Genomic DNA, 21747 nt, shown 5'->3' with positions numbered 1-21747 from the left:
GCGCGGTGCGACGCCAAATGAACTTTATGGAGACCCGTGGGGGAGGACAAGAACAGGGGCGGGGCCGGGGGCGGGGCGGAGGTGGGGCCTTGGGCCAAACCGTCACCCCTGGGCCACAGGCAGCCACGGACCTCGCCTTTCCCACTTGGTTAGAGTCGGCTCTGCCGGGAGAAAGCGATTCCAGAATTCCCTAAGTTAAAGGAATTTCTTACTCCTTCTTGAGCGCCATCCAAGGGCCAGGCCTTAGTCTAGGAACTGGCAACACCGTGGCGACCACGTCAGACAAGATCGCTGCCCTCATTGAGTTCCCAGGTTGGCAGGGGAAACAAAAATGTAATAAATAACTGCACTTTGCAAGAAGAGCTATGAAGAAAAAACAGGGTGATGGGAGAGAGAATGCTTGGATGTTGAAGGGAGGCCTTTCTGAGATGGCGACATCTTGAGCTGAATAAAGAAGGATGAGAAAGGATGGGGCTTGCAAAGTTCTGGCTTCAAAGAATTCCAGGCAGAGGGAACAAGAGTGAAGTCTCCAGGGGAAGCCAGCTTAGTGTTTGGAGACTAGAAAGAAGGGGTGTGCGGCTGGAAGATGGTGAGTAGGGACAAGTGGGGTCAGACTCATCCATAGACTGGATGGCTTATACACAACAGAAATTTTTTTCTCACAGTTCTAGAGGCTGGGAAGCCTTAGATTAAAGCACCCGCAGATTCAGTGTCTGCTGAGGGCCTGCCTCCTAATTCATAGATAGCACTTGATATGGTTTGGCTCTGTGTCCCCACCCAAATCTCACCTTGAATTATAATCCCCATAATCTCCACATATCAAGGGTGAGACCAGGTGGAGGTAACCAGATCATGGGGGGCAGTTTCTGGCATGCTGTTCTCACGATAGTAAGTCTCATGAGATCTGGTGGTTTTATAAGCGTCTGGCATTTCCCCTGCTTGCACTCATTCCCTGTCCTGCTGCCCTGTGAACATGTGCCTTCCACCATAATTATAAGTTTCCTGAGGCCTCCCCAGCCATGCGGAACTGTGAGTCAATTAAACCTCGTTTCTTTATAAATGACCTGGTTTCAGGTATTTCTTCACAGCAGCATGAGAACGGACTAATATAGCACTCTTCTCCCTGTAACCACACACAGAAGGGTGAGGGGAGCTCTCCAATATTTCTTTTATTAGGGCTCTAATCCCATTCATGAGGGCTTCACTCTCATGACCCAATCACCTACCAAAGTCCTCCCCTCTTAATACCATCCCAATGGAGAGCAGAGTTTCAACATATAAATTTGAAGGGGGAGGACACAAACATTAAGAAGTCTATAGCAACTAGTGTCCAGCTTTGTTTATTTTTAATACCTCACACCAGCATATTGTGAGTTCTCTATAAATAATTGGTGCTGATTAACAATATGTATGAATGTGGCCTTTGCCCTGAAGCTATTATATATGTAACCAGACCCCGCTATGGTCAGAGAATATCCACAAAGATAATAGTATCTTGCATCTGAATAATGTTTTATACTTTTACTTTGCTTTTTCTTTATGTAAAAAAAAAAAAAAAAAGCACTTTTAATGACATAGACAAATGCTTGTGCAATATTGCCAAATGAAAATTCCGGACACTTGCCTTTTAAAGCTGAATATTTCTACATTGTAAAACCCAGTAATTCAACTCCTAGATATATGCCCTAGAGAAACTCTTACACATATGCACCAGGAGTTATAAGTAAGAATCTTCATAGCAGCACAGTTCATATTAGCAAAAAACTTGAAACAAGCCAAATATCTGTTAACCAAAAAAAAAAAAAAAGGATAAATAAATTGTGGGATATTATGCAATGGAGCATTACACAGCAGTGAAAAATGAGTGTGCTTCAGCCACAGATACACCATGGATGAATCTTGGAAACATAATGTTAAATGGAAAAAGTGGCCAGGCACAGTGGTTCACGCCTGTAATCTCAGCACTTTGGGAGGCTGAGGCAAGAGGGTAGCTTGAGCCTCAGAGTTCAAGACCAGCCTGGGCAAATGGTGAAACCCTGTCTCTACAAAAAATACAAAAAAATTGGCTGGGCATGGTAGTGTGCAGCTGTAGTCCCAGCTACTGGGGAGGCTGAGGTGGGAGGATCACCTGAGCCCAGGTGGTCAAGGCTGCAGTGAGCCCTGGTCGTGCCACTGCTCTCCAGCCTGTGCAACAGAGTGACACCTCATCTTAAAAAACCTTGCAGTTTTCCAGATGGTCTTCCCATATACCTTCCTATCCCCAGAGATAACCACAATCTGACATTTCATATTTATCATTCCAATGTTTTATAGTTTTATCACAAATGTATCTGTGCATAAACAATATATTATTTGGTTTTTTTGGTTTGTTTTTTGTTTTCTTGTTTTTAAGAGAACTGGGTGCATTGGCTCATGCCTTGCCAGAAGAGCTTCCTTAAACATCACTTTATCTGAGCTCAGAATCTTTCAAGAGCCTTTGCCTTGAGAATTGTTCTGAGATGTGCCCCAGAGCCCCCGCAAGGCCCCTTTCTCAGAGGTGGGGATTTTCAAGCTCTTTCCTACTTAAAAGGGAGCTGGGTGGTGGTGGAGAGTCCTTACCTTCCCTCATTTAGTCCTACTGGGTCCCAAACATTATTTAACAGAATCCTGTTTTTCAAAGGAAGTATTTGATGGAACCCTGTATTGTAACACAGATTTTGCATGTCTTCTATACATACCAAGTGTATAACTCTACCTTTTTTGGCTGCATGATGATATCAAACAAACACAGGCCTTTGTACTCTCGTCTGGTTGAATTGTGCTTTTGAATATTCTTAGTCTTCAGATGAACTCATTGAGTATATGGGATGTGTATTCAACGCACTATACCGTATTACCAGACATTTGCTCTCTAATGGGACGTCTTTTAACACTTGGACTCCCCTGTGGAGCGTTCCTGCCCCAAATCTCAGTCCCTGTGTTTTGATTGGTGGCATGTGACTCAGGCCTCGCCAATCAGAGCAGAGTAGTGCAGTACCCTGGCCACAGGGACTGGTTCAGGAACTGGTTTAGAACCCAATAGGATCAAGAAAATGCACTCTTAAGATGTTCTGCTCAGACACTTATCTTTATGACTGGAATAAATTAGAACTGTGAAGATGTTTTTGTAGGCATTATCATTCCTTTCAAATTTTTGTTTGTTTGTTTGTTTGTTTGTTTATTTTGAGACAGAGTTACACTCTGTTGCCCAGGCTGGAGTGCAGTGGCACAATCTTGGCTTATTGTAACCCCTGCCTCTCAGGTTCAAGTGATTCTTGTGCCTCAGGCTCCCTAGTTGCTTGGATTACAGGTGTATGCCACCACACCCAGCTAATTTTTGTATTTTTAGTAGAGACGGGGTTTCACCATATTGGCCAGGCTGGTCTGGAACTCCTGACTTCAAGTGATCTGCCCTCCTTGGCCTCTCAAAGTGCTGGGATTACAGGCATGAGCCACCATGCCCGGCCTGTTTGTTTATTGTCCACAAGGGAAGAATTTGTCTGGGGAGGAAGACAATACAGAAGAGAGCCATGTAGTGATGGAGAGAGAGCCTGTACTCAAGTGACATTGTGACACAGCTTCTGGATCAAGCTGTGCCTAAAGCTAACCCTAACCCTGGAATGTTTTGTTGCATGACCCAGAAAATTTTATTTTTTGCTCAATTTCACTGAGGTTTTACATCACTTGCAATCAAAATAATCCTGAAGGATGCAGGTATTACTTGAGCCCTTATAACGTCTCATCTAACATGCTTATTATAAGGTCAATAGGCCAGAATTCAGTAAGCTTAATTCAGTAAACTTTTCCCAGTCGAATTGCTTTTCCATCACATGCAATATAGGGAGGTATTTTCCACAATGTCAAGAAGAATGTTTTCACCATCAGATTACATTTTATTCTACCCATTAACAAAATAATATTAAACAGTTCCATTTACAAAGAAGCTGAGAAAGTCTTATTTTCATGTTCATTGCATTTTGTTCCACAATGACATTGTAACTTGGCAAGGAATACAGAATTATATTGCATGGTTTTGTTTCTGTGTAAGTTCAGTGAAGACAATGGTCAACTTTAATTATTAAAAAGATGAGGCTTTTAGATACACGGCATTACAAATTTGCTTGAACCCACAGAATGTACAACACCAAGAGTAAACCCTAATGTAAACTACAGACTGGGTGATCATGATGCATCAAATGGGCTCATCAGTTGTAAGAAATGTACCACTCTGGTGGGGGATGTTGGTAATCGGAGAGGCTAGGCGTGTGTACAGGCAGGGGGTATGTGAAAAATCGCTGTACCTTTGGCTCAATTTTGCTGTGCTCCTAAAACTGCTCTAAAAAAATGTCTATTAAAACATTTTTTAAAGTAAGGTTCAGCTGGGCACGGTGGCTCATGCCTGTAATCCCAGCACTTTGGGAGGCTGAGGCAGGCGGATCACTTGAGGTCAGGAGTTCGAGACCAGCCTGGCCAATATGGTGAAATCCTGTCTCTACTAAAAATACAAAAATTTGGCTGGGCACGGTGGCTCACGCCTGTAATCCCAGCACTTTGGGAGGCTCAGATGGGCGTATCATGTGGCCAAGAGATTGAGACTATCCTGGCCAACATGCTGAAACCCCATCTCTACTAAAAATACAAAAATTAGCTGGATTGTGGTGGCATGTGCGTCTAGTCCCAGCCACTCAGGAGGCTGAGGCAGGAGAAGCGCTTGAACCCGGGAGGCAGAGGTTGCACTGAGCCAAGATCATGCCACTGCACTCCAGCCTGGTGAAAAAAATAAAAATAAATAAATAAATAAAAATACAAAAATTAGTTGGGGTGGTGAGCACCTGTAATCCCAGCTACTCAGGAGGCTGAGGCAGGAGAATTGCTTGGACCTAGGAGGCAGAGGTTGCAGTGAGCCAAGATTGCGCCCCTGTACTCCAGCCTGGGCAACAGAGCAAGACTCCATCTCAAATAAAAAATAAAAATAAAAAATAAAAGTGATTCATTGTGCTTCTTGTGACTTTGTGGGGAAAGGGCCTCCATTTGACTTCCTTTCATTTAGTCTCTTGAAAAATATTTGTTGAGTGCTGCTGTGTGCTGAGTGCTGGGGATTCAGAATGAATGAAATTGATGAGATCCCTGGCCCCATGGAGCTCACATTCTAACAGGGCAAACACACAATAAACAAATGAACAGATTTTGGGGAAGGTTAATTTCAGGGAGTGATAAGCCTGTATATAAAAAAATAGAAAGGGCCAGGGGCAGTGGCTCATGCCTGTAATCCCAGCATTTTGGGAGGCTAAGGTTGGGGATCACTTGAGCTCAGGAGTTCAAGACCAGCCTGGGCAATATGGCGAATCCTTATCTATACAAAACATACAAAAATTTGCCGGGTGTGGTGGCACGTGTCTGTAGTCCCAGCTACTTGGGGGGCTGAGGTGGGAGCATCACTTGAGACAAGGAGGTCGAGGCTACAGTGAGCTATGATTGAGCCACTGCACTCCAGCCTGGGCGACAGAGTGAGACCTTGTCTCAAGAAGAAAAAAAAAAAATAGAAAGTGCAGCTGAGGGGAGTGAGTGCTGCTTCAGCTGGGGAAGTAATGGAAGACCTCTCTGAGGAGATGGCATCTGAGCAGAGACCTGGATTCCCAAAGGAGCAGCCATGTGGAGCTATGCGGGGTCAGCAAGTGTCAAGGCCTCTGGGACAGACAGGATTTCAAAACACACCTTCTACTTACCACCAAATCAAACAAACACACCAAAACCAGAAAACTCCAGGCCCAGGTGTCTTCACTGGTGAATTCTTTCAAATATTTAAGGAAGAAATAATACGAATCTTACATGAACTCTTCCAGAGAACAGAAAAAATAAGAACACTTGTCAACTAGTTCAATGAGGCTGGCATAACCTTGATTCCAAAACCTGGCAGGACCCTACAAGAAAAGAAATAGAAGAACAGCCCTACTAAACGTAAAGGCAAAAATCTGAAATAAAATATTGAGAAACCCAATCTAGCAATATAGCAAAAGGATAATACATCAGGATCATAGGAAGAATTATTTTTTACCAAGAATGTAACATTAGAAAATGTATGTAATTCTCCACACTAACAACATAAATGAGAAATATAAATGTTTATCTTAATAGATGCCAATAAAAAGCATTTCATACAATTCAACATGTATTTATGATAAAAACTTTTAGCAAAGTAGGGATAGAGGGGAACTTAATCTGATGCAGGGTATCTATAAAAAACTTACAGCAAATATCACTTAATGGAAAAATATAAATATTTCTCCTAAAGTCGTATAAACATAACAAAGATGTCAGCTGTTACCATTTATATTCAACATTGTATTAGAGGTCTAAGCCAGTGCAGTAGGCAAGAAGGAGAAATAGTAGGCATAAAGATTGGCAAGAAAAAAATAAAATCACCATCATGGACAGATGACATGAATACATAAGAAGAAAACCCAAAATAATCTACAGACAAAATATTAAAATTAATTAATGAAGTTAGCAAGCCTGTAAAAAAAGGTCAGTATACAAAAATTAATTATATTTCTATATATTTGTGAAAAATAACTGGAAAATGAACATTTTAAATGATATCATTTGCATTAGCATAAAAATCATATAAATAGGATTAAACCTCACAAAAAGATGTACAAGATTTTGATGCTAAAAACTACAAGGCATTAATGAGAGCAACTCAAGAAGACCTAAATAAATGTTGAGATAAGCCATGTTTTTGGATCAAAGACTCAAGATGCCAGTTCTCCCCAAAGTGATTTATGGATTCAATGCAATCCCAACCATAATCCTAGCACATTTTTAATGGAAATTGACAAGCTGATTCTAAAATTTATCTGAAAATGCAAAAGGCCAAAAACATTCTTTTCAGACATTCTTAAAGAAGAAAATGTGGGAGAGGGACTTATGCCTCAAGATTTCAAGACTTATTTAAAAGCTGTCATAATTTAAAAAGGATGATCTTGGCAAAAAAATGAATAGACAAATGAAACAGAATAGAGAGCCCAGAGACAGACCCACACTTATATAGTTATCTGATTTTAAAAACAGTAACTCAGGGGGAGAAAGGATTCTATTTTCAATAAATGGTATTGAATCTATTGGCTCTATAAAAAATTTAAAAAGAACAGCAGCATTCATCTCATCCTTACCTCACACCATAAACCAACAATGAATTCCAGATGGCTTATAGACCTGAATGTGAAAAAAAAAGTACAATAAACTTTCTTAAAGACAAGATAATAGGCTTCATGACCTAGAGGTTCTGGGGGTTGGCAAACATTTCTTAAACAAGACACGATAAACATTAACCATAAGGAAAAGACTGATAAATTAGATGAAACTGAGAGAGTGAAAGGCAAACCACTGGAAGAAGTTTGCAATACACTAATCTAAGACTCATATCTAGACTATATAGAGAACTCTTATAAATCAAGAAGAAAAAGACAGATCCTGTTAGAAGTGGGCAAAAACCTAAACAGGTATTTCACAAAAGAGGATATGTGATGGTTAAATTGTATGTGTCAACTTGACTGGGCTATGGGATGCCCAGACATTTCATCAAATGTTATTTTGAGTGTGTCTGTGGGGGTGTTTCTGGATGAGATTAACATGTGCATGGGTAGACTGAGTAAACGAGATTGCCCTCCTTAATGCCGGTGGGCTACATCCAATCAGTTGAAGGCCTGAGAAAAATGCAAAGGCTGAGTAACGGAGAATTCCTTCTACCTATCTTTAAGCTGGGACATGGGCTTTTTTTTCTGTCTTTCGACTCAAGCTGAAACATTAGCTCTTCTTGGGTCTTGAGACTGTCAGACTGGGACTGGAACTACACCAACCACTCTTCTAGGTCCTGGGTCTCCAGCTTGATGACTGCAGATCTTGAGACTTGTCAACTTTCATAATCATATTATATCTATCTATCTATCTATCTATCTATCTATCTATCTATGCACACACATCTGATTTGTTGTGTTTCTCTGTAGAACCCTGACTAATACAATATCTGACTTGCCAATAATATATGCAAGGTGCTTAACACAATTGGTCATCAGGATAATGCAAATTAAATCCATAATGAAAAACCACTACATATCTGTCAGACTAGAATAACTAGATATTTTATGGAGGATACTTCCATACAATAAAATGCACTTGTTTTAAGAGTACACTTAGATATGTTTAGTACATGTATATATCTGTATGACCATCACCACAATCAAGACGTAGAACATTTCCATCCTGATGTTTCCCTCATGTCCCTTTGCAGTCAATGCCTGTTGGCTAAATTTCATGTAAATGTAATCACCCTTTATCTTTCGTGTCTGGCTTCTTTAGCTCAGCATCTTTTTTTTTATGTTTGTCCATGTCTGTATCAATAGTTCATTCCTTTTTATTGATGAGTAGAATTCATTATATGGATATATCACATTTTATTTATCCATTCATCTTTGTTTTGTTTTGTTTTTTTGAAACAGAATCTTGCTCTGTGGCCCAGGCTGGAGTGCAGTGGTGTGATCTTGGCTCACTGCAACTTCTGCCTCCCGGGTTCAAGCGATTCTCCTGCCTCAGCTTCCCAAGTAGCTGGGATTACAGGCATGCGCCACCACACTCCACTAATTTTTGTATTTTTAGTAGAGATGAGGTTTCGCCATGTTGGCCAGGCAGGTCTTGAACTCCTGACCCAAGTGATCCACCCACCTCGGCTCCTAAAGTGCTGGGATTACAGGCGTGAGCCACTGCACCTGGCTTATCCATTCATTTTGGTGGATGTTTGGGGTTATTTCCAGTTTTTGGCTATGAGGAATAAAGCTGCTGTGAAAATTCTTGTATAAGTTTTTGTGCAAACATATGTTTTCGTTTCCCTTGAATAAATACCTAGCAATGGAAATTCTGGGTCATATGATGCATATATATATATATAACTTTATAAGAAAATGCCAAATTATTTTCTCAATGGTTGTATCATTCCCACCAGGAGCAATGTATGAGTTCCTGTTGCTCCAATCTTTGTTCACACGTAATATTGTCAGGTTTTTTCTTTATTTGAGGCATTCTAATAGACATACAGAGTATCTCATTGTGGTTTTAGTCTTCATTTTCCTGACAACTAATGATGTTGAGAAAATGGCTACACTTTAAAACTGACAATACTAACTGTCCAAGAGGTTGTGGAGCAACTGGGACCATCATATGCAGCCGAGGGTTTATAAACAGGGACAACCACTTGGGAAAACTGGCAAAATATATTAAAGCTAAATATACACATACTCTATGACCTAGTACATCTATCTATCTATCTATCTATTTACCTATCTACCTATCTTCAGCATAAATGTGTACATATTTTCATTAAAAGCCATGTATACCAATGTTCATAGCACCATTATTTGTACTAGCCCAACAGGGGAAACAACCCAGAAGTCCATTAACAGAAGAAGGGAAAAATAAATTATGTTGTGGTCATATAATAAAATAATTCAGGAATAAAAAAGAATGAACTCCATCCTCAAGCAACAACATGAATGAATCTTGCAGACATAATGTCATACAAAAAAAGCTAGACACAAAAGTATAATTTCATTTATATAGAGTTCAAGTAAGGAAAAACTAATCTATGGTGACAGATGTCAGGACAGTGATTATCATGAAACAGGGAGAGGTTGTTGCCTGGGAAGAGGAATGAAGGAAACTTCTGAGATCTCTTAATGTTCTATTTCTTCATCTGGATGCTGAGTGCATGGATGTATTCACTTTTTAAAAATTCATTGAGCTGCACATTTAAGATTTGTGCACTTTACCATACATATGTTATTCATTATGCTACAATAAAAAGTAAAAATAAAATAGAATATTCCCTTCACCATGGAATATTAAATATTTTTGCAATCTGAAATTCATGTCACTTTCCCTGATAGTTTGCAGTCTGGAACCTTGCTTTCCTTCTTTGGTATTCCCCACAATACCTAGCATGTGGTTCATGGAAGGAAAGCAAGAAATATTTCTTAAATAACAGAATCCAGCTCCACTAATTGTTACCCCCTATCTTGAGCTGCTGCTTCCAGAGACGATTTCTTAGTGGGAAGTCGCAAATTACATAAAGCTTGGTGAGCTGTGGATGAGTGATTAGCAATATTCTTCAAAAGTCATTAAAAGCTTTGGCTAGGCAAAGTGGCTCACACCTGTAATCCCAGCACTTTGGGAGGCTGAGGCAGGGAGATCACTTGAGGTCAGGAGTTTGAGACCAGCCTGGCCAAAGTGGTAAAACCCCGTCTCTACTAAAAATACAAAAATTAGCTGGCATGGTGGCATGCACCTGTAGTCCCAGCTCTCAGGAGGCTGAGGCAGGAGAATCACTTGAACCCAGGAGGTGAAGGTTGCAGTGAGGCAAGATTGTGCCACTGCACTCCGGCCTGGGTGACAGAGTGAGACTCTGTCTTAATTTTTTAAAAAAAAAAAGCCATTAAAAGCTTAAAAGGGAAGCTTCTTACTTTGCCTTTCAGATGGGTTTCATGTCAGCGGCACAGAAGGTGACTTGACATTATCCAGGATAGCAAACAGGCTTTCTCTAGAACACCAACCCCTGGCAATTGGTTGAGTTTGTGGGAAGCCAAGGGTTAAGGATAGTGAGAGCAAATCGCAAATCCAGGCCTGGCTAGTTTTTATATTTTTAGTAGCGACAGGGTTTCACCATGTTGGTCATGCTGGTCTCAAACTCCTGCCTCAAGTGACCTGCCCGCCTGGGCCTCCCAAAGTGCTGGGATTGCAGGCATGAGCCACTGCGCCCGGCTTAGGACTGGACTATTTTGACTAATCAGAACTGAACCAGTTTGAATCCTTCATTTGTATAAGCAGACCTAATTGAGAATTTTCCCTACTGAGGCCAGACTCTACCTTTATTCTTCCCAGGGTAAGCTTTCACTTATGCTGAAGACTGTGCCTCCCCATTCTGCAGATTGTTTTCCATATATGTAGAGAGAGAAAATAAAGCTCTCCCTCTTCCTCTGCAGATCTCATGGTCTTTTGTTAATGGCAGCTTTATTCATAATAATCCCAAACTGGAAACAATTCAGATGTCTACCCACAGGAGAAAAATGGATAAACAAACTGGAATAGCCACCCAGTGGAACACTACTCAGCAATGGAAAGGAACATACCACTGACTGCTGCACCAATAGAAATGAATCCCCAAAACCTATGTCAATTGAAAGCCAGACATAAAAGAATACATACTATGAGATTCGACTTATCTCAATTTCAAGAACAAGCAAGCTTATCTCTAGTGATAGAGGTGAGAATAATTGTTCCTTGAAACTATGGGCCAGGAAAGAGCACAGGGAACTTTTTGAGGTGTCAGAAATATTCTATATCTTGAGCTGAGTGGCAACATAGGAGTATACATACGCAAAAATTTACTTATTTATCTATTTGTGTATTTATTTATTTATTTATTTATTTTTTGAGATGGAATCTCGCTCTGTCACCCAGGCTGGAGTGCAGTGGCGCAATCTTGGCTCACTGCAAGCTCTGCCTCCCAGGTTCAAGTGACTCTCTGGCCTCAGCCTCCCGAGTAGCTGGGACTACAGGCACCCGCCACTGCGCTGGGCTAATTTTTTGGTTTTTTAGTAGAGACGGGGTTTCACCATGTTAGCCAGGATGGTCTCGATCTCCTGACCTCGTGATCCACCCACCTCTGCCTCCCAAAGTGCTGGGATTACAGGCGTGAGCCACCGCGCCCGGACCTATTTGTGTATTTATTTAATGTATTTTTTTTGAAGTAGGGTCTCACTCTCACCCAGGCTTGAGTGCAATGGTACGATCTTAGCTCACTGCAACCTCTGCCTCCCCGGCTCAAGCTAACCTCCCAACTCAGCCTCCCAAGTAGCTGGGACTACAGGTGCAGGCCACCACGCCCAGCTAATTTTTGTATTTTTTGTAGAGACGAGGTTTCACCATGTCACCCAGGCTGGTCTCCAACTCCTAGACTCAAGCAATCTGCCCACCTCAGCCTCCCAATGTGCTGGGATTACAGGTGTGAGCCAGTGGCCATGGCCATAAAAATTTATTAAGCTGTACACTTAAGATTTGTGCATTTTACTGGATGTAATTATTTCTCAAAAATTTTAAATTAAGGAAAAAGTGATTGACAGCAATTATTCCACTTGAGCCTTGCAACAACTTAGGAGTAGACAGGGCAGAGTTTATCATCATTATGTATCCTATGGGGAACCTAAGCTCCAAGGGGATTGAATGACTTACCCAAGTCATATAAGGAAAGAGTGGCAGACCAGGACTTGCACTCAAGTCTTCTGAAATCAAGGCCAATCTGGGCACAGTGACTCATGTCTGTAATCCCAGCACTCTGGGAGGTCAAGGCAGGTGGATCACTTGAGGTCAGGAGTTCGAGACCAACCTGGCCAACATGGTGAAACCCCATCTTTACTAAAAATATAAAAATCAGCCAGGTGTGGTGGTGCATGACTGTAGTCCCAGCTACTCGGGAGGCTGAGGCATGAGAATTACTTGAACCCAGGAGGAAGGGGTTGCAGTGAGCTGAGATTGCATCACTGCACTCCAGTGTGGGCAACAGAGTGAGACTCTGCCTCAAAATAAAAATAAAAAAATAAAATAATAAAAATCAAGGCCAGTGCTTTTTATCTCAAGAAAGCCTCCAAGGTGAATTTAGAGCCCTTCGTTAACTCTATTAAGGAATTATCCAGAGAAGTCCTTACATGGACATTTCTGCCAGCTTTCTGAATTGAGATTGGAATATATCCCACACTCATTAATCAGCAGCAGCTGACTATCAGATGACATTGTCAAGGTGGTAGGTTTTTTTTTCAACATCTGGTTGTTTTATTTGTTATTAAACATACTGACTGTTGAATGAGAAAAATCCCCATCCTACACATCTCTCCATTGCTGCTGTTTAAAAACAGCTTTGCCGACATCTATCAACTTTGTTTATGTCAAATTGCACAATTTGTCACTGATGCTGAATTTGCCAAAAGAAAAGTGAATTTGATTGACAAGGCCCAAGGGCTTCTCTCTCTTCCTTTTCAACATTCCAGATGTTTAAAAAAGTTGGATCCACTCCCAGGAAGGCTCATCTGTGGGTGAAAAATGTACCAAAGGAGCTTGGGGGATATGGTTTCGGTTTTTGTAGAAACTTTGCCTCCAAGAGACCCCATCTTCTTGATTGGTTCAAATTACCCTCCAATTTTAATTGCCGCCTTTCAATGGAGCCATCTGTTTCAAGGCCCATCTGTCAAGGGCTCTCTTGTGGTTGATTATTAAATGTATTTGCAGCTGGAGTTTCAAGAAAAAAAACTTAAATGATAAAAGAAAAGTGTCCCCAAGAGTGAAAGTAGAAAACAGAAACAGACTTGTAGCTATTGCCACTCTTAGAAATCAGAGGACTTAGGCCAGGCACGGTGGCTCACACCTGTAATCCCAACACTTTGGGAGGCTGAGGAGGGTGAATCACTTGAGGTCAGGAGTTTGAGACCAGCCTGGCCAACATGGTGAAACCCCATCTCTATTAAAAATACAAAAATTAGCTGGGCATGGTGGTAGGCACCTGTAATCCCAGCTACTTGGGAGGCTATGGCACAAGAATCGCTTGAACCTGGGAGGCAGAGGTTGCAGTGAGCTGAGATCACACCACAGCACTCCAGCCTGGGTGACAGAGAGCAGAGAGAGACTCTGTCTCAAAAAGAAAGAGACAGAGAGAGAGAGAAAGAGAGAAAGAAAAAAAGAAAGAGAAAGAGAGAAAGAAAGAAATCAGAAAACTTAGTCCTTCTCTGCAAACCCAGAAGAAAATTAATATCAGCAAACCAGTGTGGAGAACAGTAGTGAACACGGCTGGCTTTGGGGCCTTCCAACACCCTTCTTTGGTAACTATACCAAGAACCTCTCCCCATTTACTTTCCAGGGATTTACTTCTTTCACATTGTGGGTATTCTTATGGAGATGATGGTAACCCACCGTGAAGGGTTGTTACAAGGACTGAGCTACTTAATACATGTTAGAGACTTAGAACAGAGTTTTGCATATGGTGGGTGCTCAGTAAGTGTTAACCATTTTATTTTTGGCAAGGCCAGTGGCCCCGGTATTCTAGAATTGAGTAGAGGTGTCCTTGCCCCACCAGTGCAAAGCTGTCAAGTACCCTACACACATCATAAAAAGTTGCAATTTTTTATTTTTATTTTTTAGAGACATGGTCTTGCTGTGTTACCCAGGCTGGAGTGCAGTGGTGCAATCATAGCTCACTGTAACCTCGCACTCCTGGGCTCAAACAATCCTCCTGCCTCACCTCTGGAGTAGTTAGGACTATGGGCACATACCACCATGCCCAGTTATTTTTAAAAAATTTTTGTTGAGATGGGGTCTTACTATGTTGCCCAGGCTGGTCTCAAACTCCCTCAAGTGATTCTTCTGCCTCCACTTCCCTGGGATTACAGGCGCAATTTTTGTTTTGTGCATAAATTTCACTAGAATGGAAGCCCTTGAAGGCTTTGTGTCCATTAGTGGGTGTTCGGTGAATGTTAGTTTAAAAAGGTCCTGAATGAGCTGCCAGGAGACTCTCAGAATGGAGGCTCCAATCACGCAAGTTATCCAATTGCTTGAAGGCAGAGTCTTAACTCAAATTTGACTCAAACTGGGGCTAACACTGGCATGTGTGGCATAGCAGGGAAGACCAGCTCCTATACGTGACCTCTCTTGGGGGTCAGCCAGTTCAGCTGTTCTGTAATGTAACTGTCTAGATCTTATCAGCCTTGAGGGATGAGACTGTGCCCAATGCTGGCCACTGGGCAGAACTCAGACTTCAGTAAACCAACACCACAGTTCTGAAAACCGTGGGACACACAAGCTGGAGGCTGTAGCCCCCTGGTTGATGGCTGTCTTAGAGGTCTCATTCTTTTTTAGAATAAGTAATAATTTTTAAAAATCGTGAAAAAGTCAAGCAAAGAGTCAGGAAAGAGAGGATGCGCAGGCAAAAACAAAACTTTCTTTATCCATCTGGCTGACAATGTTGTAATTGCTTTTCATGGAAAAGTATGTTTACGTGCTTTTTTAATCCCTAAGTGTCTTCACAGCATTTACTTTTTGTAATGTATTTGATTTTGTATTATGAGAAGTCTGATTTTTAGTTTCATGGTTCAGTTAAAATTGGGAAGTATGTGGCCAGGTGCGGTGGCTCATGCCTGTAATCTTGGCACTTTGGGAGGCCAAGGCAGGAGGATTGCTTAAGGCCAGGAGTTCAAGACGAGCTTGGGCAACATAGTGAGACTTGTCTCTACAAAAAATGTTTTAAAATTAGCTGGGCTTGGTGGCATCTGCCTGTAGTCCCAGCTACACGGGAGGCTCAAGCGGGAGGATTCCTTGGCCTGAGGAAGTTGGGGCTGCAGTGAGCTGAGATCGTGCCACTGGACTCCAGCCTGGGCAACAGAGGGAGACACTGTCTCAAAAAAAAGATAAAAATTCAGAGGTGTGAAGGGTGAAGGAAGAGTTTTTATTCCAATATGTTCTTAATTTTTTTTTTTTTTTTTTTTTTTTGAGACAGAGTCTTGCACTGTTGCCCGGGCTGGAGTGCAGTGGCGCGATCTCGGCTCACTGCGACCTCTGCCTCCCGGGTTCGAGAGAGTCTCCTGAGTAGCTGGGATTACAGGCAGGCACCACCATGTCCAGCTAATTTTTTGTATTTTTAATAGAGACGGGGTTTCACCATGTTGGCCAGGCTAGTCTCAAACTCTTGACCTCATGATTTGCCTGCTTCAGCCTCCCAAAATGCTGGGATTACAGGCCTGAGCCACCGCACCCGGTCATGGTCTTCATTTTTTAAATAACCAAATTCTCTGCTGTTTTTTGAAAATCTATGCTGGCAAAAATCAACTTTTCTATTTTGTTTTTCCTGAAATTAATCACCACAAATAAAATGAAAATATGTTCACTTCAAGCAAAGCCCTGTGTAGAATAAGCCATTACTATACGTGTGCAATGAATAAAAAAAATACAACAACCTGATCAGAACAGGAATAATTTCTGTGCTGTGGGTTTGGCTGGGCATGGCTTAGCCCATTGTTTCATTACACCTGTTGACAACAATGACATTTATAGAGGCTGCAGGGAACTAGTTAGGCCTTTTTGGCTTGTTTTTGTCTTGTCCTTCTGCCTTCTGCCATGTGAGGAGACAGTGTCCAAGGTGCCATCTTGGAACAGAAACCAGACCTTCACCAAACACTGAACCTGTTAGCACGTTAACCTTTGTCTGCCCAGCAGCTCCAGAACTGTAAGAAATAAAGTTCTATTATTTATAAATTACACCGTTTGTGGTATGCAGTCATAGCAGCACAAACAGGCTAAGCATCCATTAACAAAAACCAAGAAGTTGATTTTCCCTATCCCCTCACAGGAACAGAAATTAGACTTCAAGCCAGGTATAGAAATTAGACTTCAATTCAGCTACGTAAAGAAACAAAAGCAATGGTGACAATAATGCCAACACTTAGGGGCTTGAACAAGATAAGACATTATTTCTGTCACATGAGAGAAGTCTGAAGAGAAGCCATCTAGGCTAGGTGGTGGCTTCAGTCATCAAGGACCTGGCCACCTACATTGCTGCTCCCCCATCCTTAGCATCCTGCCTCAGTCTCCAAGATGGTTGCTGGAGCTCCAGCCATTATGCTCTTGTTCCAGCCATTAGGAAAGAGGACAGGGACCAGAGCGGCACCTCGTCCCTTTCAAGGATACATTCCTAAAGTTTTACGTCCACTTCCACTTACAAATCATCGGACAAAACGGTCATGTGGCCACTCTTGGCTGCCAGATAGTCTGGGAAATGTGGTTTTGGCTGTATGTCTATGTCCCAGACACTTGTGAGGTTCCTATTACTAAGAGGAAGAGGGGATAGATAGTGGGGCAAACCCATTGTCTCTAACCCACAATTTCTTGGGTTCTTAAATTCTGGGTTTCTTGTTCTATGTGGCAGGTGTGTGTGTGTGTGTGTTTGTGTGTGTGTGCATGTGTGTGTGCGTGCACACTCAAAGGCATGTATGTTAGGGGAAATGTTGTCAACCAGGGCCAAAAAAAAAAAAAAAAAAAAACCAATAGTGCTTCATTATCTGAGACCAGTGGACCTCAAATTTTAGTGCATAACAGAATTACTTGAGAAGTTCGTTAAAAATATAAATTGTCAGTAGGCAAATATTCTTAGAAAACTAGCACTAAACAAAAGAGACAAAACGATAAACTGGTCCTCAGGAAAAATGAAAACTTCTGATAATCAAAAGATACCATTAAGAAAATGAAAACTGTGGCCGGGTGTGGTGGCTCACGCCTGTAATCCCAGCACTTTGGGAGGCCGAGGCAGGCAGGTCACTTGAGGTCAGGAGTTCATGACCAGCCTCGCCGAGTTGGTGAAACCCCATCTCTACTAAAAATACAGAAATTAGCCAGACGTGGTGGCACATGCCTGTAATCCCAGCTACTCAGGAGGCTGAGGCAGAAGAATGGCTTGAAACTGGGAGGTGGAGTTTGCAGTGAGCCGAGATTGTGCCACTGCACTCCAGCCTGGGCAACAGAGTGAGACTCCCTCTCAAAAAAAAAAAAAAAAAGAAAATGAAAAGTGGCAGTTTTCTTGGTGCAGCTGGCAGCATTTTCGTCTCATAAGCTGAAGAAAATGAAAAGGCAAGACATAGACTGAAAGGACATCTTCTCAATACACATATATGACAAAGGACAGGTATCCAAAATATACAAAGAACTTCTGTAAATTAATTATTTTAAAAAACCGATTTTTTTTAACGAGCAAAAGATTTGAATAGGCACTTCATAAAATACAATATAAAAATACCAATGAACACATGAAAAAATAGTCCACATCAGTAGTCATCAAGGAAATCTAAGTTAAAGCCACAATGAATAACACTTCATACCAGTAGAATGGCCACAGTTTAAAAGTCTGACACTAGCAAGTGCTGGTGGGAATGTGAAGCAACTGGACCTCCCATATTCTGCCAGTCGGGGGTGTAAAATACTACAACCATTTTAGAATATGGTTTGGCAGATTCTAATAGGGCCCCAGCAATTCCACTTCTTGGTATCTATCCCAGAGAAATAAAAGAACAAGTCCACAAAATGACTTGCACAAGAATGCTTATAGCAGCTTTATTCATAATATCCCCAAACTGGAAACAACCTAAATGTCCATCAAAGAAGAACGGATAAACAAACTGTGATACATGTATACAATGTAATACTACTTAGAGATATGAAAGAACAAACTCTTGACACATACAGCCATATGGATGGATTTCAAAAACACTGGGTTGACTAAAAGAAACCAGAACAAAAAAGTACACACTCTCTGATTCCATTTATATGAAGTTCAGGAACAAGCAAAACTAATATGGGATAAAATCACAATAGTGTTTTCTGGTCAGGGAGGGGTGAGGTACTGACTGGCAGGGGGATGAGGGAACTTTCTAGGGTGATGACATGTTCTAGATCTTGAATGAGATATGGGTTACATGGTGGGGTACGTTTGTCAAAACTAGTCAAACTGCTGTTAAGATTTGTGCATTTTAGCTGGGTGTGGTGGCTGACACCTGTAATCTCAGCACTTTGGGAGGCTGAGGCAGGTGGATCACCTGAGGTCAGGAGTTCGAGACTAGCCATGGCCAACATCTCTACTAAAAATACAAAAACTAGCCAGGTGTGGTGGCACGCACCTGTAATCCCAGCTACTCAGGAAGCTGAAGAAGAAGAATTGCTTGAACCCAGGAGGGCGAGGTTGTAGTGAGCCAAGATTGTGCCGCTGCACTCCAGCCTGGGTGACAGGGCGAGAGTCCATCTCAAAAAAAATTATATATATATATATATATATATATATATATATATATATATATATATGTATATATATGTATATGTATATATACACACATTTATTAGTGCATTTTATCAAATGTAAATGTAATTTTACCCCCAAAATTCTGTGTATGTGGGCGCAGTGGCTCACGCCTGTAATCCCAGCACTTTGGGAGGCCAAGGGGGCGAATCACTTGAGGACAGGAGTTGGAGACCAGTCTGGCCAACATGACAAAATCCTGTCTCTACTAAAAATACAAAAAACTAGCCAGGTGTGGTGGCGTGCTATTGTAGTCCCAGCTACTTGGGAGGCTGAGGCAAGAGAATTGCTTGAACCCGGGAAGCAGAGTTGCAGTGAGCCAAGATCCCACCACTGCACTTCAGCCTGGGCGACAGAGCGAGACTCCGTCTAAAATAAAGAAAAAGTTATGTGTGTGTGTACGTGTGTGTATATAAATTGCTAGCCCTGAGCTCAGAGATTGTGACTAATGAGATGGGGGAATTGACATTTTGGGGCATTTTTATTACCCCTTCTCCCCTGGGGAATTTTGATGTAAGTAGACAGGATGGACAGGGGTTGCTCACACTGGGGAGGAAGGTGTGGAGGCGTGTGGCTCTGAAGGGAGTGGTTCCCTAAAATCTGGAGGACCACAAGGTCTTGGGTCTGCTGCACACAGTGCCCTGGAGGAGGCTCTCAGATACTGCTGGTACCAGAATGTCTGGGGACACTGGTGCCTAATACTGGGATCTTGGGGGAGTAGACAGGGTCCCATCATGGAGGCTTGTGGTCAGTGGTGAGGGTGGCTGGGAGGGCATCTTTGTGGCCTGCTGAGAGCAGCTGCAGCCAATGGCCAGTGGAAGCACAGCCCCGAAGCAGCCTTGTTTGTGCAGCAGGATGCCTGGTGACAACAGTGTCCGGGCTAGTAATCACAGTCATGGGTAACATTAGCTGAGCACTTCATCAATGCTAAGTTTTACATGTATTTACTCATTTCATTATTCCCATTTTAGGGATGAGAAAACTAAAAATCCAGGGGGATTTTAGCAACTTGCCTACCTCACACAACTAGCAGCAGAGCCAGGATTTTAACCCAGACAGTTCCAGGGCTCAGGTCCTTACCCTCTGGGCTGGCCTTCCCCCTCTACTGCCCCCTGATACCCTCACTTTTCTGAACATTGGACTCATTCCTGTAGCTGGAGGTAGAGGACGGAAACTCAAAAGATGATTGAAGATTAAAAAACAAGATGATTGAGGCTGGACTTCTCAAAACCTTGGTGAGTGGGAAGCCACAACCGCCTGCAGGGCCAACCTGGTCTTGTAAATGATTAAAGCGGCAGGTGTGATGCATTAGGGAATGGTGGGGCCCGTGGCAGGACTGCTTTAAAGGGGGTGGCCATTACTGAAATGTGCCCTTGGGGCCATGCAGAAACAATGGCCCAGGGCTCCAGAAGATCCAGGTTTTTTAAGATTTTGATTTTTATAGCCCATGTTGCAGAAAATAAAACATATCTGTAGGTGTGCTGCAGCCCAGGGTGATGGCAATATCTGCTCTCCTCTCACTCCTGGGTGATCTGCACCAGGATGGGCAGCAGGCCAGTGACCTTCAGAGGCCCAGGCCTTTGAAGGATGAGGGTGCTTAGCCCTGTGTGAACCCACTCTCCCCTGCACCTTGAACCAGGGCTTTCTGAGACTGCTCTCCTGCCTGCATGCCCCCATCTCCTAACAAACAGGAGCTCCATCTCAGACTCAAATGATCCTCTGCCAGGTGTTTCCGTTGCTTTGTCCAAAGGCCTACACATGCGCCAAAGTTCAGGGTTATCTCCCCTCCACCTTTCCCTTTGTCTCCAGCCACCTTTCTGCTGACTGATTTTGTTGTTGTTTCTTTTTATAATTCCATTTGGGCTATCATGCGGCCCGATCTTCCATCTCATTCCACATCCAGCTGCAGCCTGAGCTTGAGCGTTTGTGAGCTTTGCAGCCAGATATGAACAGAAGACAGATTCATTTCCTGCTGCCTGCTTCTCCAACCCCAAATCTCCCAGTTTGATCCGAGAGCCCTGAAGATTTGCCTTCACCCGGCGCCCCCCAGATGCTTCTTTTTAAGCCTTGCTTGTAAATAGGTGTCAGTAAGGGTCTCACCATGCAGGATGTGGGCGTGTGGGTGCTCCAGATCCCCACACCGGCTGTCACCATCCCCCTGCTGTTGCCAGTGCATCCCTTGAGGATGCCTGGCAGGTTACACCCCACCCCGGGGGCAAATGGTGACTGACAACAGAACAAGTGCTCACCTGCTTGCCCCACAGCAGGACAGTTCAGTGGGAGGAATTTGTTCTAGAGCACCCTGGATCAGGCCAAGGCTTTCCCCTTCCATATTCGGCTTCTTTTGCTCCTCTAATAAGTCACGCATGTGGAGCCCTAAGGAGCTAAAAGAAAATTGGAAATGAGCTTAGCTGGCAAGAACAGACACAGGGGTAGAGGGGAGTGAATGTTCTGAGAAATAGGGTCAACAGCAAACAGCTCACTAGCACCCAAACATCCTGTTGCAAGCATTCAGCTCACAGCCCACCTGCACCCAAGCTTCCTGTCTGCAAGCCTTCAGCCCAGACAGCACAACTTTATAAAGTCCCCTGCAGCCCCTGCCTTTTTGCAGACAGCATTCCCTCTGCTATGTTGCTCGTTGCTCCCTTGGAACATATGTCCCGCTTTTCTCTAATAAATCTACCTTTCTTTCCCAACAATTGTCTTGGTAAATTCCTTCACCACCTGTGACACTGACCCCAGGGGGTCAGTTTTTTATTTGTTTGTTTGTTTGTTTTGAGACAGAGTCTCACTCTGTCGCC

The 21747-nt window shown here is 42.7% G+C and overlaps 2 long non-coding RNA genes across 4 annotated transcripts, besides 1 other annotated feature; one reads left to right on the top strand and one right to left on the bottom strand.

Moving 5' to 3' along the window:
• Positions 61 to 160: a silencer, noted in NCBI's record as "silent region_7514". NCBI's record gives its function as "represses an Ori minimal core promoter by ATAC-STARR-seq in GM12878 lymphoblastoid cells {active_cell/tissue: GM12878}" and the evidence as "EXISTENCE:reporter gene assay evidence [ECO:0000049][PMID:35858748]".
• NUP93-DT (NUP93 divergent transcript) lies at positions 97 to 21642 on the top strand. 3 transcript variants are annotated; one of them, NR_184322.1, is made up of 3 exons: positions 97 to 312; positions 20101 to 20181; positions 20850 to 21642. It is a non-coding gene; the product is annotated as an NUP93 divergent transcript (long non-coding RNA). The 3 variants fall into 3 exon arrangements; NR_184321.1 differs by having other exon boundaries at positions 97 to 589; NR_184320.1 differs by having other exon boundaries at positions 97 to 589; positions 19918 to 20181.
• Positions 5520 to 21399, bottom strand: LOC105371287 (uncharacterized). The gene is made up of 3 exons (XR_933621.3): positions 21196 to 21399; positions 7191 to 7233; positions 5520 to 5939 (listed from the first exon to the last, which is right to left on the bottom strand). It is a non-coding gene; the product is annotated as an uncharacterized LOC105371287 (long non-coding RNA).
• Positions 21643 to 21747: the final 105 nt, after the last annotated feature.

This window comes from Homo sapiens, chromosome 16, assembly GCF_000001405.40.
Source record: "Homo sapiens chromosome 16, GRCh38.p14 Primary Assembly".
NCBI classification, from domain to species: Eukaryota; Metazoa; Chordata; class Mammalia; order Primates; family Hominidae; genus Homo; species Homo sapiens.
Note: the sequence above shows the minus strand (reverse complement) of the source record. Positions and strands in the feature narration are given on the sequence as shown.